Here is a 20,053-nt window from a genome sequence, read left to right on the forward strand (position 1 = left end):
GCCACCAGGCCTGGCCTGTCCGGGCTGCTCTTGAACTCCTGAGCACAAATGATCCTCCCACCTCAGCCTCTCAAGTAGCTGGGACTATGGGTGAGCCCTGCTCAGCCTAGCTGAGTGGATTTTAATGACAGGTGTTCCTGTCATGAGTTCTTGAGGTTTGCAGGGTGTAGTAAGCTTTATTCATCCATTACCTTATTTGATCTTCCCATGAATGACTCAGATGGAATGCACAGAGCATGTGTCAATAAATACCCCATTTTGCTATGTTGCCCAGGCTGCTCTTGAATTCCTGGACTCAAGAGATCCTCCCGCCTCGGCCCCCCAAAGTGCTGGAATTACAGACATGAGCCACTACATCTGGCCTTGTCAGCGTTTTCTAGCCTTTCAAGGTAGGAAGGAGCTTGGGTATCTGAGGCAAATACTGCTGGAAGTGAGATCTTGAGCAGGCCATTTTCTTCCTCTCCCAGGGTGGTGGCAAGAGCCGCCCCTGGCCCCACTCAAGGGGCCTGGACTGGAAGGTATGGCAGCTCACAGTGCGGTCTGCCCTCAGGTGACCTTGGCCACAGCAGTGGATTCTGGTGTCACCTGTGAGGCTCACAAGGCAGCACCCCAGGAGCCCTTGTGCTGCGGGTTCCCAGGGGGAGTGGGTAGGAGATGGCCGGGCAGCTGGCAGTAACCTTGACCCTGATGGGCTGTGTTTCTCCAACTTTCCCACCATCCCTCCAGCCTGAAGAGATGGGATGTGCAGCTCTTGACCTGCAGCCGCCCACCCCAACTGCGACCTCGCTTTGAAGCTTCAACTTCTATTTTTAAAGCTAATGTTAATTTTACATTCGATTCCATGATATATCCATGTTTATTTTACTATAAAGCATATTTTCCCCTAACTTTAGAGTCAAATGGGTGCTCTGGGAAGATGTTTATGTTTTTTCTGTGGCTTCCGCTACTCCCAGCACAGCGACTCCAACCAGTTTTAAAAATGTGGATTAGTACCAAAGAGGATGATGAACCATTAGACACAATTAGGATGAGAAATGCCGAGATTATTTATTTATTTATTTTTAGAGACAGGGTCTAGCTCTGTCTCCTAGGCTGGACTGCAGTGGTGCCATCATAGCTCAATGCAGCCTTGAACTCCTGAGCTCAAGTGATCCTCCCGCTTCAGCCTCCTGAGTAGCTCCCAAGTGCACACTGCCATGCCCAGCTAATTTTTTTCATTTTCGGTAGAGACAGGGGTCTTGCTGTGTTGCCCAGGCTGGTCTCCAACTTCTGGGCTCAAGCAATCTTCCCACTTCGGCCTCCCAAAGTGGTGAGATTATAGGTGTGAGCCACCGTGCCTGGTGGAGAAACGAATAGTTTAATAGCACTTTTATCCAATGTGCTTTGTTGGTTGAGTAACTGACTTTGGTTCAGGTAGAGAATTATTAAGATGCATTACCTCAAATGTAAACATTTTATTTTATTTTTTTCCGTGGCTAGCCGCACAGAGTCCTATATACCTCTCCAGCAGCACTCACCTGGAGAAGCTGCTATGGATGCCAGCTACTGTTATTTCTCCCTTCCCAATAAATATTTCATTTTCACTTAAAATATGTCAGTGTACATTGGTTCCCTGATCTGCTCTCAGATGGCCAAGGGCTTATGTTTGAGTAGGTCACAGGTTCATCTTTCTGTATGAGGCGTACATGCAACGTATAATCCACTTTTTTAATCCTACTTTTTTTTTTTTTTTTTGAGACAGGGTCTCGCTCTGTCACCTAGGCTGGAGGGCAGTGGTTCACTCACGGTTTTCTGCAGCCTTGACCTCCTGGGCTTAACCCATCTTCCTGCCTCAGCCTCCTAAGTAAGCAGGGATCACACACACCTGGCTAATTTTTTTATTTTTTTAATTTTTTGAAACAGAGTCTCCCTCTGTCGCCCCGGCTGGCGTGTAATGGTGCGATCTCAGCTCACTGCAACCTCTGCCTCTCTGGTTCAAGCAAACCTCTTGCCTCAGCCTCCCGTGTAGCTAGGATTACAGTCGTGCACAACGCCACATCTGGCTAATTTTTGTATTTTAGCAGAGATTGGTTTTCACTATGTTGTTCGGGCTGATCTCGAACTCCTGACTTCAAGTGATCCACCCACCTTGGCGTCCTAAAGTGCTGGGATTACAGGCATGAGCCACCATGCCTGGCCTTGGCTAATTTTTTTGATTTTTAGTAGAGACGAAGTCTGGCTATGTTGCCTAGGCTGGTCTCGAACTCCTGGGCTCAAGCATTCCTCCCAGCTCAGCCTCCCGAAGTGCCGGAATTGCAGATGTGAGCCACAGCGCCCGGCCTTCCTTCTACATTTTAATAATTCCTGCTGAGATTTTACAGTTGTCTTGCCTGGTCTAATTCCATAATTCTACAGGAAGTTTGTTTTATTGGGTGACTTGTCTTTTACTAGGTTTCTGAAGCACTCAGCTTTGTTTTCTTCATGGAATCAGCTCCTTTCACACCCAGGGTGCACCCTCTTATGTAATAATTACATTATATGATTACACAGGTAAACAACTGCCATCCGATTGGAGCAGGCATGGCGACCTCTGTGGGCATGCAGAGACAGGAAGGAAGGCTCGACTCCATGGCACCCCGGGGGTGGTCAGCACGTAGAGGCCATTGGCCAGGGTGTTTGGTAAGGGCATGGAGAGCGCCATTCACCCCTGATTCTGCTAGGTAGGAGTCAGGGTAAGTCGTAGGGATCACAGAGCCTGGGCCAGAGGCAGGTTCAACTTAGAAATCCCTCCGGGACTAGGGGAAGCCCTCACTCTGAGAATGAGCACATGCTCCAGAAAGGGGGCATCAGGTAAAGTTTCTTTTCCCGTGGGTCCTGTCAGTAGCATTTGTACTTAGGAGCTTTGCCGTTTGCCAGCTGAAAGTTGCCATTTTCATTAACGTAGCTTGCCGTTTCTGTATCTAATAACAACAAACACTTTTGTAATATGTACCCTGTGCCAGGCAGTGTACTGGGCACTTTGAAAATACGAAGGTTGGCCGGGCGCGGTGGCTCATGCCTGTAACCCCAGCACTTTGGGAGGCCAAGGCGGGTAGATCACCTGAGGTCAGGAGTTCTAGACTGGTCAAGACCAGTCTGACCAATATGGTGAAACCTTGTCTCTACTAAAAATACAAAAATTAGCCGGGTGTGGTGGTGGGTGTCTGTAATCCCAGCTACTCGGGAGGCTGAGACAGGAGAATTGCTTGAACCGGAGAGGTGGAGGCTGCAGTGAGCTAAGATCATGCCACTGCACCACTCCAGCCTGGGCGACAGAGCGAGACTCCGTCTCAAAAAAAAAAAAAAAAAAGAAACAAAAAGAAAAGAGAGAAAAGGAAAATACTAAGCTAGCCGGACACTGTGGTTCATGCTTGTAATCCCAGCACTTTGGAAGGCTGAGGTGGGCAGATTGCTTGAACTCAGGAGTTTGAGACTAGCCTGGGCAACATGGCAAAACCCCATCTCTACAAAAAAATACAAAAATTAGCCAGGTATGATGATGCACACCTGTAGTCCCAGCTACTCCAGAGGCTGAGGTGGGAGGATCGCTGCTTGAGCCTGGGAGGCAGAGGTTGCAGCGAGCCGAGATTGCACCACTGCACTCTAGCCTGGGCAATGTAAAAAAAAAAAAAAAAAAGAGAGAGAGAGAAAGAAAGAAAGAAAGAAATGCTAAGCTAATTAGCCTTATGACAACCCTGTTTGAGGCCGGGCGCGGTGGCTCACACTTGTAATCCCAGCACTTTGGGAGGCCGAGGCGGGCGGATCACGAGGTCAGGAGATCGAGACCATCCTGGCTAACACGGTGAAACCCCGTCTCTACTAAAAATACAAAAAAATTAGCCGGGCGTGGTAGCGGGCGCCTGTAGTCCCAGCTACTCGGGAGGCTGAGGCAGGAGAATGGCGTGAACCTGGGAGGCGGAGCTTGCAGTGAGCCGAGATTGCGCCACTGCACTCCCACCTGGGCCACAGAGCGAGACTCCGTCTCAAAAAAAAAAAAAAAAAAAAAAAGACAACCCTGTTTGGTAAGTACTACTGTGATTCCCACTTTACAGATGGGGAAACTGAGGCACAGAAAGGGGAAGTAACTTACCTAAGTCTTACCCAGCCAGAAAGTGGCAGAGGCTGCTCCTAACCCTGCACCATGCTGCCTCCAAACACGGGCTTGTTCCCAGGAAGAAGTGCTGGGTTGGGGGAGGGGAGTCCAGATCCCAGGGAGGAGGACTCAGGAGGCCTCTGGGAGTCAGGCGGCTATGCAGGAGGGGCTTCCTGGCTCTTTTTCACTTGTCCCCTCACCCCCACCCCCCGTCCCCACCTTCCCAGGACTTAGTTGGACTTCCAGGCAGAGTTCCTTGTTTGTTTTTGTTTTGTTTTTTCCTTTTTTTAGAAACAGGGTCTCGCTGTGTCACCCAGTCTGGAGTGCAGTGCTGCGATCATAGTTTACTGCAACCTCAACCTCTTGGGCTCAAGCAATCCTCCTGCCTCAGCCTCCTGAGCAGTTAGGACTACTGTGTGCACCGCCACACCAAGCTAATTTTTTTTTTTTTTTTTGAGACGAAGTCTTGCTCTTGTCCCCCAGGCTGGAGTGCAATGGCACAGTCTCGGCCCACTGCAACCTCTACCTCCCGGGTTCAAGCGATTCTCCTGCCTCAGCCTCCCGAATAGCTGGGATTGCAGGTGCCCACCACCATGCCCAGCTAATTTTTGTATTTTTACTATACATGGGGTTTCACCATGTTGGCCAGGCTGGTCCTGAACTCCTGACCTCGTGATCCACCTGCCTTGGCATCCCAAAGTGCTGGGATTAGAGGTGTGAGCCACCGCACCCAGCCACACCAAGCTAATTTTTAGATTTTTTGTAGATATGGGGTCTTGCTAAGTTGCCCAGGCTGGTCTCAAACTCCTGGGCTCAAGTGATCCTCCCGCCTCAGCCCCCCATAGTGCGTAAGCCACCGTGCCCAGCCTAGTTCCTTGCTCTTGAAGGTCCTTGTGTCTGATGGAGTTGGCGTCTTGGACTCTGATCCTCTACAGCAAGAGTGGGCAGAAGGACGCAGCTCTGGTGCCTGGCCCTTCCCCAGTTGGCCTGGGGTGGTGCCCATTCTCCCCAATGCCAGGGGCAAGCAAGGCCTGGCCTCTACAATCTCAATGGCCTCCTTGCCCAACCCCTAGGCCTCTTTTGGGAAGTTGACCTAGGTGTCCTTGAGCTGGCAGTTGATACCATCTGGCTCCAGTGCACTGGCCTGGGAGAGGCAGTGGTACGGTGGTAAAGAGCAGGCTCCAGAATAAACCTAAACCCACTTCCTTCCCCGTCACCTCCTTGAGTCCCACTTTCCTCATTCATAAAACTGAATGGCTGCCTTCGGGGCTTGTCACAATGTTTAATGAGAAAATGGACATCAGGTGCCTAGTCATGGGGGCTGGCCGCTGTAGCCTTGAAGATGAGCCTGTTGAAAGATGAAGAGGCTGTGCTATGGGACAGAGTCTGAACCGATCCCAGAGGCTCCAGGGGCAGGAGTGGCCCAGAGACCTGCTCTGAGAATGGAAGCATTGTCACGGGCCCCCTGCCAAGGAGAGAGTGTGACCAGGACAATGACTGGTGGGATGAGGTGTCCAGAGCCCTCTATGTCATCCCCAGGATTTCTTCCTCTTTGGTTCAGAGCTTACAGGGTTGTCTGCAGATCTCACGAGGATAGGTGGAGGAGGACCCCTAAGCTGACAGCCGGGTAGGGAAGGAGGGCCTGAGTGCCGAGTGCCTGGGCAGAGAGCCAGCTGCAGATCTCACCCCAGGAGAATGGGGCGAACTACCACATAGCTGACACTTGACGGGGGGACTGCCATGAGTGTGTGTGTGTGTTTTGGGAGGGAGGTTGTTTGTTTGTGATTAAGTTGAGGTCAGGACAGAAGAAGGAAAGTGGAATTTGTAGTTTTAAGAGATATTATATGGCCATCTTAAGATTGCAGCAGCAGACCAGGTGCGGTGGCTCACGCCTGTAATCCCAGCACTTTGGGAGGCGGAGGCAGGCAGATCACTTGAGGTCAGGAGTTCAAGACCAGCCTGGCCAACATGGTGAAACCCCGTCTCTACTAAAATACAAAAATTAGCCAGGTGTGGTGGCGTATGTCTGCAGACCTAGCTACTTGAGGAGATGAGGCAGGAGGATCGCTTGAACCAGGGTGGTCAAGGCTGCACTGAGCCAAGATGGTGCCACTGCATTCCAGCCTGAGTGAAAAAGTGAGACCCTGTCTAAAAAAAAAAAAAAAAAAAAAATTACAGCAGAGGCTGCATCTGGGAATTATAGGCCGTGATCTTCCAGATCGTGCATGCGGATGTTTTAAATATATATGCCATATGTTTTATAAATGTGTTTATTCATGCATACTGTACGTTTTTAATTACATGGAATCAACACAAGTTAGTTATTAAAAGTTTATAAAATATAGATTTGGCAGAGTAAGAAAAAAAAGAATCTGGGCCGGGCGTGGTGGCTCATGCCTGTAATCCCAGCACTTTGAGAGATCCAAGGCAGGCAGATCACCTGAGGTCAGGAGTTCGAGACCAGCCCATGGTGAAACCCCGTCTGTACTAAAAATACTAAATTAGCTGGGTGTGGTGGCGCCTGCCTGTAATCCCAGCTGCTTGGGAGGCTGAGGCAGGAGAATCACTTGAGCCCGGGAGGCGGAGGTTGCAGTGAGCCAAGATCGCGCCATTGCAGTCTAGCCTGTGCAACAAGAGCGAAACTCCATCTCAAAAAAAAAAAAAACAAAAACAAAAAAACAAAAATCCGGCCGGGCACTGTGGCTCTCACCTGTAGTCCTAGTACTTTGGGAGGCCAAGGCAAGAGGATCAATTGAGACCAACCTGGGCCATATAGGGAAACCCTGTGTCTACAAAAAACAGCAACACAAAAACTATCCAGGCATGGTGGCACACACCTCTAGTCCCAGCTGCTCGAGAGGCTGAGGCGGGAGGATCGCTTGAGTCCGGGAGGTTGAGGCTGCCATGAGCCTATTATGGCATTGGACTCCAGTCTGGGTGACAGAGCCAGACCCTGTCTCCAAAAAAGAAAAAGAAAAAAACTCCATCTTCCACCTACCCCAGAACCACGTCACCCAGTGGTTCCTAACCTGTCTCAGATTTTAAATCCCTTTGAAAACCTGCAGAAAAGCATGGACTCTCTCCAGAAAAAGGCTCTTTCATCCACAGACTCTGTTGGTGTGCAGGGAAGGACTGTTTAGGTCCAACCTCTAGCTTCTCTGTCGTATGAGATTCTGACTCTGAAACCAACCTCAAAGGGGCAAATCATTCTGACCCTGTGACACCTCTGTAAGACACACTTGCCAGCAACCTATTCAAAGTCTGTCTTGAACCTGTTTCTATTTTCTTTCTTGACCACCTCTTAAAGAAGACATTGCACAAGTTTGCCCCTGCCATTTAAATCCTTTGTCCTAAATTTACAGCCCCTTTCTGGGGCTTTCAGCAAGGATCGACTTTCCTGCGTCTTTGGGTGACTCTCCACTGTATCATCGGCTCATTTCTGGAAGAGGACCATCCTTTGGGGCATGTGTAAGGCCCCTTTTGTGGGAAGGGCCTTGGCTTAGGCACATGGGGAAGCATGCCTGCGAGAGCTGGGTGTGTGAACCTTCTTTCCGGGTAGTCAGGAGAAACTTTTTTTTTTTTTTTTTTTTTTGAGATGGAGTCTTGCTCTGTCGCCCAGGCTGGAGTGCAATGGCACGATCTTGGCTCACTGCAACCTCCGCCTCCCAGGTTCAAGTGATTCTCCTGCCTCAGCCTCCTGAGTAGCTGGGATTACAGGCACGTGCCACCATGCCTGGCTAATTTTTGTATTTTTAGTAGAGACGGGGTTTCACGGTGTTGGCCAGGCTGGTCTTGAACTCCTGACTTCAGGTGATCCGCCCACCTTGGCCTGCCAAAGTGCTGGGATTACAGGCGTGAGCCACCGCGCCTGGTCTGGGGGAAATTTCTATAGAGGATGAGAAGTCAGGGATGTTGACTTCTCATGCTGGGCCTCAGGTGCTTGAGACCAGTCAGGCTCTCCCTGTGAAATTAGCAAGAACTCACCCTTTGGCCAAGTAGGCTGAGCGCCCCACACCCACATCGCCTGTTTACCTCTCAATATTCTCCCAGGCCTTGGTTAGCCGCCCTTAGCCCATGTCCTGTTTCTCAGGCATGAAGAAGGCCCCTGATGTCAGCATCACAGAGCTCTCCCAGCCCTACAGGTGGCCAGCCTTCCTGGAGACCACTCCTGGTGCCATTCCTTGGGCACCAGTGACTTTGCCTCTTCTCCTCCTCCTCTTCTTCCTCGTCATGTTTTAGCATAAGAAGCTTTATTGAGCTAGAATTCACATACCATACAATTCATTTAATGTGCACAATGCAATGGTTTTTTGTTGCTGTTGTTGTTATTGTTTTCGTTTTTATTTTTGAGATGGAGTTTCACTCCTGTCACACAGGCTGAAGTGCAGTGGCGTGATCTCGGCTCATTGCAACCTCTGCCTCCCGGGTTCAAGTGATCCTTCTGTTTCAGCCTCCCGAGTAGCTGGGATTACAGGCGCCCACCACCACACCGGGCTACTTTATGTATTTTTAGTAGAGATGGGGTTTCACCATGTTGGCCAGCCTGGTCTCGAACTCTTAACCTCAGGTGATCCACCCGCATTGGCATCCCAAAGTGCTAGGATTACAGGCATGAGCCATCATGCCTGGCCTAATGGTTTTTATTTTTATTTTTAAATTTTTTGTAGAGATGGAGTCTTGCTATGTTGCCTAGGCTGGTTTCAAACTCTTGGTGTCAAGTGATCCTCCCACCTCGGCCTCCCAAAGTGCTAGGATTACAGGTGTCAGTCACCAAACCCCGCCTCAGTGGTTTTTAGTATATTCACAGTTATGCAACCATCAGCATCATAAATTTTAAGCTGTGCATGGTGGCTCATGTCTGTAATCCAAGCACTTTGGGAGGCTGAGGCTGAACTCACTTGAGCCTAGAAGTTCAAGACCAGCCTGGGCAATATAGTGAGACCCTGTCTCTATTAAAAAAAAAAAATTAAAACATTTTCATCACTCCAAAAAGAGATTTCACACCATTAGCAGTTACTCTCTACTTTTCTTCCATCTCTCAGCCTCTGGCAACCACTAATCTGCTTTCTGTCTCTATGGATTTGCCTGTTCTGGACATTTCATATAAATGGGATGATACACTATGTGGTCTTTTGGGGTTGAGTTTGCACCTTAGCATATTGCCTTTAGAAACCTGTCTGCCTCATACCATTACAGAGGAGCTGTTGTTTGTACTGACCATTTAGTCCATCACAGGTATTGATGGAGCCTCTAAGCATGGAATAGTGCTGGCCCCACAGCAGGAACGCGGCAGCCATGGGTGGCGTATTAGTTACTGGTTGCTGTTTAACAAATCACGCCAACACTTGGCAGACTGAACAGCAAGCATTTATGATCCCGTAGTTTCTGTCAATCAGGAATACAGGAGCCGCTTCGTTGGGTGGTTCCGGTCCAGGGTCTCATGAGGCTGCCATTGAGCTTTCAGTGGAGGCTGCAGGTGTCTGGGGCTGGAGGTACCTGCCACAGCGTGGTTGGCAGGCTCAGTGACTGGCTGGCTGTTGGCCAGATATCTCAGTTCCTCTTCATGTGGGCTTCTTCATAGGGTGGCTTGAGTGTCCTTATAGCATGGCCACTGGCTTACCCCAGAGCAAGAGATGAGAGCACTGGAGAGAGACAGAGAGAGAGAGAGAAGAGGGGAGGGGAGGGGAGGGGGTGTATAAGCCCAAGACTGAAGCCCCAGTGATGTTTCATAACCTAATTTTTTCATTAATTAATTAATTAATTTTAGAGATAGGGTCTCTGCTGCCCAGGCTGAGGTGCAGTGGCACAATCAGAGCTCACTGCAGCCTCCAGCTCCTGGGCTCAAGCAACCCTCCAGCCTCACCCTCTCAAGCAGCTGGGACTACAGGTATGCATCACCATGCCTGGCTGCTGCTGCTGCTTTTTTTGTTTGTTTGTTTGAGACGGAGTCTCACTCTGTCACCCAGGCTGGAGTGCAGTGGCGCAATCTCGGCTCACTGCAACCTCCCCTTCCCGGGTTAAAGCGATTCTCCTGCCTCAGCCTCCCGAGTAGCTGGGACTACAGGCGTGCGCCACTAGTTTCTGTATTTTTAGTAGAGATGGTTTCACCATGTTAGCCAGGCTGGCTTGAACTCCTGACCTCAGGCAATCTGCTCGCCTCCCCGCCTCGGGCTCCAAAAGTGCTGGGATTACAGGTGTGAGCTACCAAACCTGGCCCGGATTCTTTTATAATCTAATGTTAAAGGTGCTATCCCATCACTGTGCCATATTCTTTAGGTCACATTGACTGTGAATGTGGGTGGGGGCTACACAACGGTGAGAATCTCAGGACGGAAGTAACTGAATGTAGTTTCATATGGAGAGTGATCCAGCTTGTTCTGGAAGGGACTGCAGTCTCCCCGGGACTTAGCTTTGGAGAATGAGCCAGCTTGTTCTGGAAGGGATTTCAGTCTGCCCAGGACTTAGCTTTGGACCAGCTATGAGTTCTCTGTGATGAAATCTCAGCTTTTCCCAACTGCAGCTTCAACCTCCTGAGTTCAAGTGATCTTGTTGCCTCAGCCTCCTGAGTAGCTGGGACTACCACCACGCCTGGCTAATTTTTGTATTTTTTGTAGAAATAGGGTTTTGCCACGTTGGCCAGGCTGGTCTCCAACTCCTGAGCTCAAGCGATCTGCCTGCCTTGGCCTACCAAAGTGCTAGGATTACAGACATGAGCCACCACACCTAGCCAAGGCTGCGTTTTTATTTTTTATTTTATTATTAGTATTATTTGAGACAGAGTTTCACTCTTGTTGCCCAGGCTGGAGTGCAGTGGCGCCATCTCAGCTCACTACAACCTCCGCCTCCAGGGTTCTCCTGTCTCAGCCTCCTGAGTAGCTGGGATTACAGGCATGCCACTACACTTGGCTAATTTTTGGTATTTTTAGGAGAGACGAAGTTTAACCATGTTGGCCAGGCTGGTCTCGAACTTCTGACCTCAGGTGATCTGCCCACCTCGGCCTCCCAAAGCGCCGGGATTATAGGCGTCAGCCACCACGTCTGGCCTGGGTATTTATTTATTTATTTCGAGACGGAGTCTCGCTGTCTCACTCTGTTGTCCAGGCTGGAGTGCAGTGGCACGATTTCAGCTCACTGCCATCTCCGCCTCCTGGGTTCAAGCGATTTTCCTGCCTCAGCTTCCCGAGTAGCTGGGATTACAGGTGCACACCACCACAGGTGGCTAATTTTTGTGTTTTTAGTAGAGACAGGGTTTCACCATGTTGGCCAGGCTGGTCTCAAACTCCTGACCTCAGGTGATCCACCCTCCTTGGCCTCTCAAAGTGCTGTGATTACAGTCATGAGCCACCACTGGGGTTTTAAATGTGTAACAATGGATGTCCATTTTAGTGGGAACTGACCCTGTCCCTCAGGGACACTCATGGGCCAACCAGGAAAGGAGATGTCTCTGCTGACTTCTGTTAGATGGTGTAACCCATCATAGGGGTGACCCAGTGCCATGGTGGGACGTGTCAAACGCTTTCCCCACTGGGATTGGGCCCTGGACCTTTTTTTTTTTTTTTTTTGGGGGGCTGGGTCTCGCTAAGATGGCACCACTGCATGCCAGCCTGGGTGACAAAGGGAGACATTGTCTCAAAAAAAAAAAAAAAACCAAAAAACCAAAACAGGCTGGGCATGGTGGCTCATGCCTGTAATCCCAGCACTTTGGGAGGCAGAGGCGGGCGGATCACCAGGTCAGGAGATTGAGACCATCCTGGCTCACACGGTGAAAACCCATCTCTACTAAAAATACAAAAAATTAGCCGGGTGTGGTGGCGGGAACCTGTAGTCCCAGCTACTCGGGAGGCTGAGGCAGGAGAATGGCGTGAACCCGGGAGGCAGAGCTTGGAGTGAGCCGAGATCGCGCCACTGCACTCCAGCCTGGGCGACAGAGTGAGACTCTGTCTCAAAAAAAAAAAATAAAAACAACAACAACAACAACAAAAAAAACGAGCCTTGTGCCTTATAGCAGTGGGACAACTTGGTGTTAGAAGCAGTTTTAGGTGGTGGTTCCAGGTGGGTTCTGATTCCTGCTCTGTCACTTCCTGCACGGCTTCGGCGTCAGTTTCCTCATGAAGATGACTATTGTAACTATTTAGTGGGGTTGTTTTGAGGATTTTATGAGATCTTCAGAGTTCTAGGGATCTCTTGCTACATAACAGCCTGTCCCAAGCTCAGCGGTATAAAGCAACACTGTGATGCTCACGGTCCCAGGGGCCAGGAATTCCGACAGAGCTCAGCAGGACGGCCTGGCTCTGCTCCCATGATATCTGGAGTCAGCTGGGAAGACTCTCAAGGGGTTGGTAACAACTTGAACAGGTGGGGTCTGGAATCATCTGGAAGTTTCATCACTCATGTCTGGTACCTGGGTGGGATGACGAAGGTTGGGCTCAGGTGGGACTGTCAACTTGAGTGCCTTCACATGGTTTCTCCTTCTGGCTTGCTTGGGTTGTGTCACTGCATGGCAGCGTCAGGGTAGTCAGACCTCTAACTTAATGCTCAGAATTCCAAGAGCCAGCATTCTAACCAAGGAGGAAGCGGCATGGCTTCTCATGGCCTCACCTCTCAAGTCACTTAGCATCTCTGCTGCCATACTCTCTTGGCAGTCACAAGCCCACTAGATTTAAGAGGAGGGGACACAGAGGCCATCTCTCAATGGGAGGAGTCCCTGCAACCACGAGCCACACGTGCTTTTTGGCTGATACTTGAAAGAATGAGCAATGCAGGCTGGGCGCAGTGGCTCACGCCTGTAATCCCAGCACTTTGGGAGGCCAAGGAGGGTGGATCACCTGGGGTCAGGAGTTCGAGACCAGCCTGGCCAACATGATGAAACCCCATCTGTACTGAAAATACAAAAATTAGCTGGGCATGGTGGCAGGCCCCTGTAATCCCAGCTACTTGGGAGGCTGAGACAGGAGAATCGCTTGAACCCAAGAGGCCGAGGTTGCAGTGAGCTGAGATGGTGCCACTGTACTCCAGCCTGGGCGACAGAGAGAGACTCCGTCTCAAAAAAAAAAAAAAAAGAAAAAAGAAAGAGCAATGCAGTTGGGTGTGATGGCTCACATCTGTAATCCCAACACTTTGTGAGGCTGAGGCAGGCAGATCCCTTGAGCCTAGGAGTTTGAGACCAGCCTGGACAACATAGCAAGACCTCAAGACCTCATCGCTACAAAAATTAAAAATTAGTTGGGCATGGTGGCACACACCTCAGCTACTCGGGAGGCTGAGGTGGGAGGATCACCTGAGTCCACAAGGTCAAGCACCTGTGATAGCGCCACTGCACTCCAGCCTGGGTCACAGTGTGAGACCCTGTCTCAAAAAAAAAAAAAAAAGAAAGAAAAAAGAAAAAAGAATGAGCAATGCAAACCCAAGCTTTTTTTTTTTCTCTCTCTGCTTATATCCCCAACCCCTCAACTCCTGCCCCAGGTCACAAACTCAGGAAGCCTCAATTAAGACAGACTTTTAGTCTAAGCTTGGAGAATTGAGGAAGGAAAGAAGGAAGTGCCAGATGCTAATTAACTTTGCTTTTTAACTACAGATGAGCCACTTTTTGAGTTACCCAGGGGTGAGAGTCTCAAAGATAAATGAAAATATGTAAGGATGGCAGGAGAGCATGGGCCTCTTATAATTAGGTCCCTCATTCTTGTGCTTTGAGAATAAAAATATCAAGGGTGGAATATGTGAGTAAATATGGAAACTCCTTTGAGGATTTTTTTGGAGCCCTCCTGTTTATTCTAATAGAATTAAAAGCAAACATGTAACTGGTTTTTTTGTTTGTTTGTTTGTTTTTGGTTGTTGTCTTTAGTTGCTTTTTTTTGGTTATACTTAATTTATTTTTTTATTTTTTGAGATGGAGTCTCGCTCTGTTGCCCAGGCTGGAGTGCAGTGGCTCGATCTGGGCTCACTGAAACCTCCGCCTCCCAGGTTCAAGCGAATCTCGTGCCTCAGCCTTCTGAGTAGCTGGGATCACAGGCATGCACCACCACACCTGGCTAATTCTTGTATTTTTAGTAGAGATGGGGTTTCACCATGTTGGCCAGGCCAGTCTCGAACTCCTGACCTCAGGTGATCCGCCCTCCTCAGCCTCCCAAAGTGCTGGGATTACAGGCGTGAGCCACTGCGCCCAGCAGTTATAATTAAAAATTTTTTAAAGAGATGAGTATCTCACTGTGTTGTCCAGGCTCGAGTGCAGTGACTATTGACAGGTGCTATCAATAGCGCACTGCAGCCTCAAACTCAAGCGATCCTCCTGCCTCAAACTCAAGCGATCCTCCTGCCTCAGCCTGTGAGTAGCTGCAACTACAGGCGCCCTCAGTCGTGCCTGGCTTTGCCTCTGATTTTTTTCTGACTTTAGCCTTCCTGGTCTTGTCCCCACTCAGCAGTGGTGTCTTACCTGACCACACCTAGAAATGCTGAATGCCAATTTGAGTTAGAAAGAGAATAGCAGAATTCCAGCCAGGTTGGAGGCTAGGATATTGGTGAGCATTTGGGAGAAGCTGAGATTTCATCACAGCAAAAGTGTGATGAAATCACACATCACAAAGTGTCAGGAGAGGGAGAAGTGACTGATGCAGCAAATACTCTTCCATCTTCTAGGGCTCCTTGAAGGGAACAAGGGCTCCAATGAGTGGGAGCAGAGGCTCATTTGGTTTCCTGCCTTATGTTTTGGGATTTAACAAGAGGATTGGCCCTTTTAGTAGCAAGTAGAGGAGCAGGAATCTAATTTCTTGGCTCCATCATAGCTCACCGCAGACTTCTGGGCCAAGCAATCCTTCTCCCTTGGCCTCCTAAGTAGCTAGGACTACAGGCAAATGCCACCATGCCAGGCTAATTTTCTTTTTTTTTTTTTTTTAGTAGAGACGAGGTCTCACTGTTTTGCCCAGGTTGTTCTTAAACTCCTGGCCTTAAATGATCCTCCCACCTCGGCCTCGCAAAGTGCTGAGATTACAGGCGTGAGCCACCGTGCCCGCCTTAATTTACTCTGATTTTTCTTTTCTTTTTAAAATAGAGACGGGGGTCTCACTGTGTGGCCCAGGCTGGTCTTGAACTCCTGGGCTCAAGTGATCCTCCTGCCCTGGCCTCCCAAAGTGCTGGGACTACAGGCGTGAGCCACTGTGCCAGGTCTACTCTGATATTTAACAGTGGTAAAATTCATTTATCCACTAAATGACTTTATTTATACTCTCACTTAATTTCAGAAAGGACTGAAGGTACCTGAGCTGTGAACAAAGAATCAGAGACTGGTTTTTCCTCCATCTCTGCCACTAACTAGTTGTGCCACCTGGGGCAAGTCACTTGGTCTCCTTGTGTCTGTTATCCATGTGTGAGAGCCAATACTTAATATGAGTGCCAGGCACTGTTCTAGAGATTTTCCATGCATCTGTATTCACTCTTTTAATTCTTCTCTACACAATTTATTAAGGTCTCTATCTTTTTAGAGTTTGTCAGGGCAGTTCCAGTTCATCGTGGCAATACAAGAAAGTCACTTTTGGGGGCTTTTGCCATTTCAAAGAATCTTGGATTTTTCTCTGGGCTCCAGAGACACCCGTGCCTGACACCCCCAATTTGAACCCCCAGCGGATCATTGGGTTCCATTGCTGATGGGGACCTTGTGTTTGAGCTTGACTTTCCCTCCATCCATGCTGGAGATAAACGGAAGTCTTCGCGCAGGGGGACGATTGCAGGACGGGGCCGCTAGGGAGGAGGGCTCCCACACGTGGGGAATGGGGGTGGAGGAACCGCTGAAGCTCGTCTGCCCTTTGGAAAATCTCGTTGGTGTCCTAGCCCTGGGATCATTGTACTTACCAGGTTGGGGGGCTCTGCACCCAGAACTCCTCCCAGCCTCTGTCTGCCCGTCCAAGGTCCGGCGTGACTTCCGGTGGCTGATTTCTCATCTTGGGGAAATCCCCGCCCTGGGGGGGTCCGGTGTGGCCTGCAGGGAGCCTGACTCACCCGTCGGCTGAGTCAGGGGGTCCCAGCTGCCCTCGGATGTCTGCTGCACCGCTCCCCTCCCTCAGGCGGGGGACGGCAGGAAGGAGGGAGAGATGGGAGGGCGTGGGGGCGGGGCCGGGGGCGGTCTCCAGCCCCCGGCCCGGGCTCCGCCCTCTCCCGGGATCTGTGAAAGCACAGCCAGGGTGCGGGCGGGTGAGTGCCCACCTGGTGCAGGGTGTGAAGAGCGAGAGCGCGTGTATGAGCACGAGCGTCTGTGGTCTCTGTGTGTCCGTTTACATGATTGCGCCTGTGTCTGTGTGTGCGCATCTGCATGCGTGTCTTTTTGAGTGAATGTCTGTGTGTGACTTCTAGGGACGGCCAGGGAAGAGGAGTGTCCCCTCCCACCCTGGCCCCCCGTCTTCTCATCCTGGACTCCCTCTCTTCTCTCTCCTCCTTGGGGGGTGCTCTGGGCATCCGGGACCCCTGGCAAGGCTGCCGGGTGCTGGGAGGACGCAGAGGCCGCCGAGGGCGGAGGGAAGCGTCAGGCCTGGCTGCGCGCGCCCTGGCTAGGGAGCTCCGAGTCCCGGCCGCCTGGTCCTTTCATTCTGGGCTTCTTCGAGATTCTCGAGGGCTTCCAGCCGGCAGTGTTTTCTCCTTGCCGTCTTCTCAGGCACGAGGAAGGCTCCTGGAGCTCATCTGCCTGGGATGGGCGGCCCTGCCTTGACCTCACGTGCAGCAATTAGGACCACCAAGGAGTGTTCTTCAAACCACCTTCTACCACCCCGCGGGACACGCCAGGGCTGATTCTGGTGCTCGCACCCCGCTTCCTCCTCTGCGTTCCCCTGTGGCAAAGGTTTGTCTTGGGCTGTGGACCCGAAAGAATATTCTAAGGGGAGATGGGCTCTTGCAGAGCAAGAGGGGTATGGTTTCAGCACCAAACTAAACTGGTGCCAGCGCTAGCTCTGCCCAAGAGGCTGTGCAGACAGTGTTTGTGTGAGTACGTGAGGGTGAGAGTCCCTGCCCGCCTAGCTTCGGCTTCCCCACTTACAACCAAGGGAGAACAACATCTATCTTACAGTGTAGATGCCTGGATAAAAACTGGAGCGCCTGGCCGAGCACTTTGGGAGGCTGACGCGGTAGGATGGCTTGAGCCCAGGAGTTCGAGACCAGCGTAGGCAACATAGTTAGACCCCCGCCTCTACAAAAAATTTTAAAAAATTAGCTGAGTGAGGTGGTGCGCACTTGAGGTCTCAGCTACACGGGAGGCTGGGGTGAGAGGATCGATTGAGCCAGAGAGGTAGAGGCTACAGTGAGCTATGATCGCACCACTGCACCCCAGCCAGGGCAACAGAGCAAGACCCTGTCTCAAAAACAAAAACACTGGAGCGCCCAGAGTTTTTTTTAAGTGCGGGACAAGGATTGTCTCGGTGTTGTTACTGCACGCACACCGCCCGTTGTAATGGATAGATGCATTAGTGAAAGTGCTAGGTACACTCATTTATTTTCTAAATCTCACATATAAGGGAACCCCCGATGGAAAGGCCCATCAGCTAGGGAACAGCCAGCAGGCTGGATTTGAGCCCAGAGCCCGGGCTGGCCAATTACTCGAGTGAGTCTGGCTCCGGCTCTGTGACCTGGGTCCAGTACCCCGCCCTTTCTGCGGATGCCTTGCAAAGCGGGGAGCGGAAAGCAGTTTGGTGGACGACCAGCCCTCCCTTGCTTTGCAGGTGGCGCTTTCTATTTATTGATTGTAAGGTGAAACCTAGGCCAGAGCCAGCGTGCGCGCGCCGTCGGGGTCCCGCGGCTGCTCTGGGGCTCAGGGTGCGAACCCCAAGGGCCCCGCCTGGCAGCGTCCTGGGCCTCCGGGCGAGAACAGCGGGGGTCGGGGAGGATTTGCAGCGTCCACTCCTCTCTCCGCCGCCCGTGTGAGCTCGGGCGCTTCTCCCGGCTGGGGGTGTGAGAATTTGCCGACGGTGCCCGCGCCGCCGCCGGCCCCGGCCCCGCCCCAGCCCCGAGGACGCCCCGCCCCCAGCCGGCGCCCCGCCCCGCCTGCCAGTAGTCCCAGCCCCGCCCCGGGCCGCGCCCCTCCGCCGAGCCCCGCTTGCCTGCACCTCGCGCGGCGGGCCTGCCCTCCGGCCCCCGCCGGCCCCGCGCCGCTGCCCGGAGGCTGGCGTCTTCCCGTCACTCCGGGACCCGCCCGCTGTGTCCCCTGGGCAACTGTCTCCAGGGAGATCGGGCCCCGCCCCCGGCAGCGACACCCGGTACGGAGCCCACCTGTGCGGGCGTCTGCGGGGTCCCCGTGCCCCGCCCCCAGCCCCGCCGGGCGTCCCACCCCGCCCAGCCCCGGGCTTTGTCCGCCTGGGGCGGGGTGGGCAGGGTCGGTGGAGGCGATCAGGGGTCCGGGGCCGTGGGGGCTTGGGGGGCCGAGGCAGGGGGTTGCGTTCGCGGTGGGATTCTCAGCTATGGGCCGCGCGACGCTCTCCTCTCCTAATCTGGTTGCTTCCTTTTGTGCCCCCCGGGGGTCAGGAATCCCAGGTTTCTCCGCTGCCGCCCTTGATGGGATCCGTGAGGCCTCCAGCGGGCTTCGCACGAGGACGCGCCTGTTCGGGGCAGGCTGTTTACTTGTCGGGGACCCAGCAGTGGCTGTGCGCGTCCTCCCCTCCCCCTGCCCCCTATTCGGGACGGAGCCTCCTGCGCTCTGTCCCTCCCGAGCTGTGCCCTTGAGCCCAAGGGGGCTAGAGGGTGGCAGACCCAGATCCTGAGGTCCTGCGGCTTCCTCCCCGGGGGAGCGCCTTCTCCCTGGCCGCCCTCTTGTGGATTTTGTCCTGGCTCCTTATTTCCTGACCCGAATTCCTGAGGATGAATTCTCTCCTTCTCTTCCTTCTCGGCTCCCTCTGCTTTTGGCTTTGTTTTTCCTGTTTTGAAAGGGCTTTCCTTATGATCCTGTCTCATTTCCCTGTGCCAGAGCTACTATAATTTGTCGTGGTAACGGGTATTGGCCAGTCACTTAATTGGTCAGCAATGGAAGGGATTTCTTCCTTAGCCTTTGGTGCTGACCTCCTGTTTCTCTGGTGGCAGTGCCTTGCGAAGTGCTTGCCACTGTCCCCTGGATTTTGAGGGAAGGGAGCATCCGAGCCCGCATGCCTGGGCTCCCGCAGCAGGGTCCCCGGAGCATCTTTGCAGGGATAGAGGCCGCAGGGAGGACTCCAGCTTGGTCCTTGGGAGATGTGTTCCTGCAACCCATGCCTTTTCCAGCGGGTTCCTAGGGCTCTGCTGTTTGACTCATGGAGAAGCCGGTGGTTTTGGTGTTGTGCTAAATCGAAGCCCACCTAGTGGGCTCTGGGCCGAAGGCTCCCAGCTGTGGAGGTAGCTATGCCCAGGGCCTGGGGTTGGGAGAAGGGGTTGGGTCTTTAGACTGGGCTGGAGCTCTAGTGTCTTTTTTCCCTCTTTGGGGTTCTGTTATTTCCTGGAGCGGCTGAGGTGGGGGAAGAAGCACCACAGATGCAAGGAGTGGGCGGCCCCTCCCCTCACACTCTTCCTTTTTATCTCCAGCCCAATAGGGCATGAATTTTCCTTTAGACCTGGGCCTTGAAAACAGATCCACATGGGGAATAAAGATTTCAAGTTCACCAACCTGCTTTTTGCATCCATCGAATGGAACTCGAACCCAGGCTTGGCTCAGATCAATTACTTTGCTTTCAAAAAACCAAACAAAACCAACAAACAGCTCTAAAAACGATCTGAGTCATCTGAGTGCACATTCCTGCTCCAGGCACTGGAAATGCTCCTGTGGTTGGTTTCAGTACCACCAAAGGGAGCTGGGGGTGGCATTGACGCAGATGGCAAGAAAGGCCGATCAAGTGGAATGTGATTGGTTTGCAAAAAGGAGAGACCTAGATGAAGCAGTTGATTTTGAGCTAACGTCCTGTAAGAGAATGCACAGGTTTCTGAAATTCTCTCTTGTTAAAATAGTTT

The 20,053-nt window shown here is 51.8% G+C and overlaps 1 protein-coding gene and 1 long non-coding RNA gene across 38 annotated transcripts in view, besides 7 other annotated features; one reads left to right on the forward strand and one right to left on the reverse strand.

Annotated features, from left to right (window-relative positions):
• The window catches only part of PIK3CD (phosphatidylinositol-4,5-bisphosphate 3-kinase catalytic subunit delta), a 101,857-nt gene that overhangs the window by 44,125 nt on the left and 37,679 nt on the right, over nucleotides 1-20,053 (forward strand). For 5 of the 35 annotated variants that reach the window (XM_006710687.3, NM_001438338.1, NM_001350234.2 and 2 more), the window contains exon 1: nucleotides 18,162-18,339. The exons of 24 other annotated variants lie outside the window; for them this stretch is intronic. The gene's annotated coding sequence lies outside the window, so the exon portion shown is untranslated. Of the gene's footprint in view, nucleotides 1-16,250; nucleotides 16,932-18,161; nucleotides 18,340-18,430; nucleotides 19,445-20,053 lie in introns of those variants that run through there. 6 more of the 35 variants (XM_047422556.1, XM_047422550.1, XM_047422563.1 and 3 more) reach the window with 3 other exon arrangements.
• PIK3CD-AS2 (PIK3CD antisense RNA 2) lies at nucleotides 1,044-16,192 on the reverse strand. 3 transcript variants are annotated; one of them, NR_126366.1, is made up of 3 exons: nucleotides 15,953-16,192; nucleotides 9,330-9,753; nucleotides 1,044-1,337 (listed from the first exon to the last, which is right to left on the reverse strand). It is a non-coding gene; the product is annotated as a PIK3CD antisense RNA 2 (long non-coding RNA). The 3 variants fall into 3 exon arrangements; NR_126367.1 differs by lacking the exon at nucleotides 9,330-9,753; NR_126368.1 differs by lacking the exon at nucleotides 1,044-1,337 and having other exon boundaries at nucleotides 9,463-9,753.
• Nucleotides 15,947-16,116: an enhancer, noted in NCBI's record as "active region_136". NCBI's record gives its function as "activates an Ori minimal core promoter by ATAC-STARR-seq in GM12878 lymphoblastoid cells {active_cell/tissue: GM12878}" and the evidence as "EXISTENCE:reporter gene assay evidence [ECO:0000049][PMID:35858748]".
• Nucleotides 16,167-16,306: a silencer, noted in NCBI's record as "silent region_229". NCBI's record gives its function as "represses an Ori minimal core promoter by ATAC-STARR-seq in GM12878 lymphoblastoid cells {active_cell/tissue: GM12878}" and the evidence as "EXISTENCE:reporter gene assay evidence [ECO:0000049][PMID:35858748]".
• Nucleotides 16,632-16,826: a silencer, noted in NCBI's record as "fragment chr1:9748072-9748266 (GRCh37/hg19 assembly coordinates)". NCBI's record gives its function as "represses an EF-1alpha promoter that drives an FKBP-Casp9 reporter gene in an ReSE screen in K562 erythroleukemia cells {active_cell/tissue: K562}" and the evidence as "EXISTENCE:reporter gene assay evidence [ECO:0000049][PMID:32094911]".
• Nucleotides 17,833-18,392: a silencer, noted in NCBI's record as "silent region_230". NCBI's record gives its function as "represses an Ori minimal core promoter by ATAC-STARR-seq in GM12878 lymphoblastoid cells {active_cell/tissue: GM12878}" and the evidence as "EXISTENCE:reporter gene assay evidence [ECO:0000049][PMID:35858748]".
• Nucleotides 17,833-18,920: a biological region, named in NCBI's record as "H3K4me1 hESC enhancer GRCh37_chr1:9749677-9750360".
• Nucleotides 18,237-18,920: an enhancer, noted in NCBI's record as "H3K4me1 hESC enhancer chr1:9749677-9750360 (GRCh37/hg19 assembly coordinates)". NCBI's record gives its function as "activates a minimal SCP1, AML or CMV promoter by ChIP-STARR-seq in primed H9 embryonic stem cells {active_cell/tissue: H9 hESC(primed)}" and the evidence as "EXISTENCE:reporter gene assay evidence [ECO:0000049][PMID:30033119]".
• Nucleotides 18,921-19,602: an enhancer, noted in NCBI's record as "H3K4me1 hESC enhancer chr1:9750361-9751042 (GRCh37/hg19 assembly coordinates)". NCBI's record gives its function as "activates a minimal SCP1, AML or CMV promoter by ChIP-STARR-seq in naive and primed H9 embryonic stem cells {active_cell/tissue: H9 hESC(naive and primed)}" and the evidence as "EXISTENCE:reporter gene assay evidence [ECO:0000049][PMID:30033119]".

This window comes from Homo sapiens, chromosome 1 (genome assembly GCF_000001405.40).
Source record: "Homo sapiens chromosome 1, GRCh38.p14 Primary Assembly".
In the NCBI taxonomy this organism is placed as follows: Eukaryota; Metazoa; Chordata; class Mammalia; order Primates; family Hominidae; genus Homo; species Homo sapiens.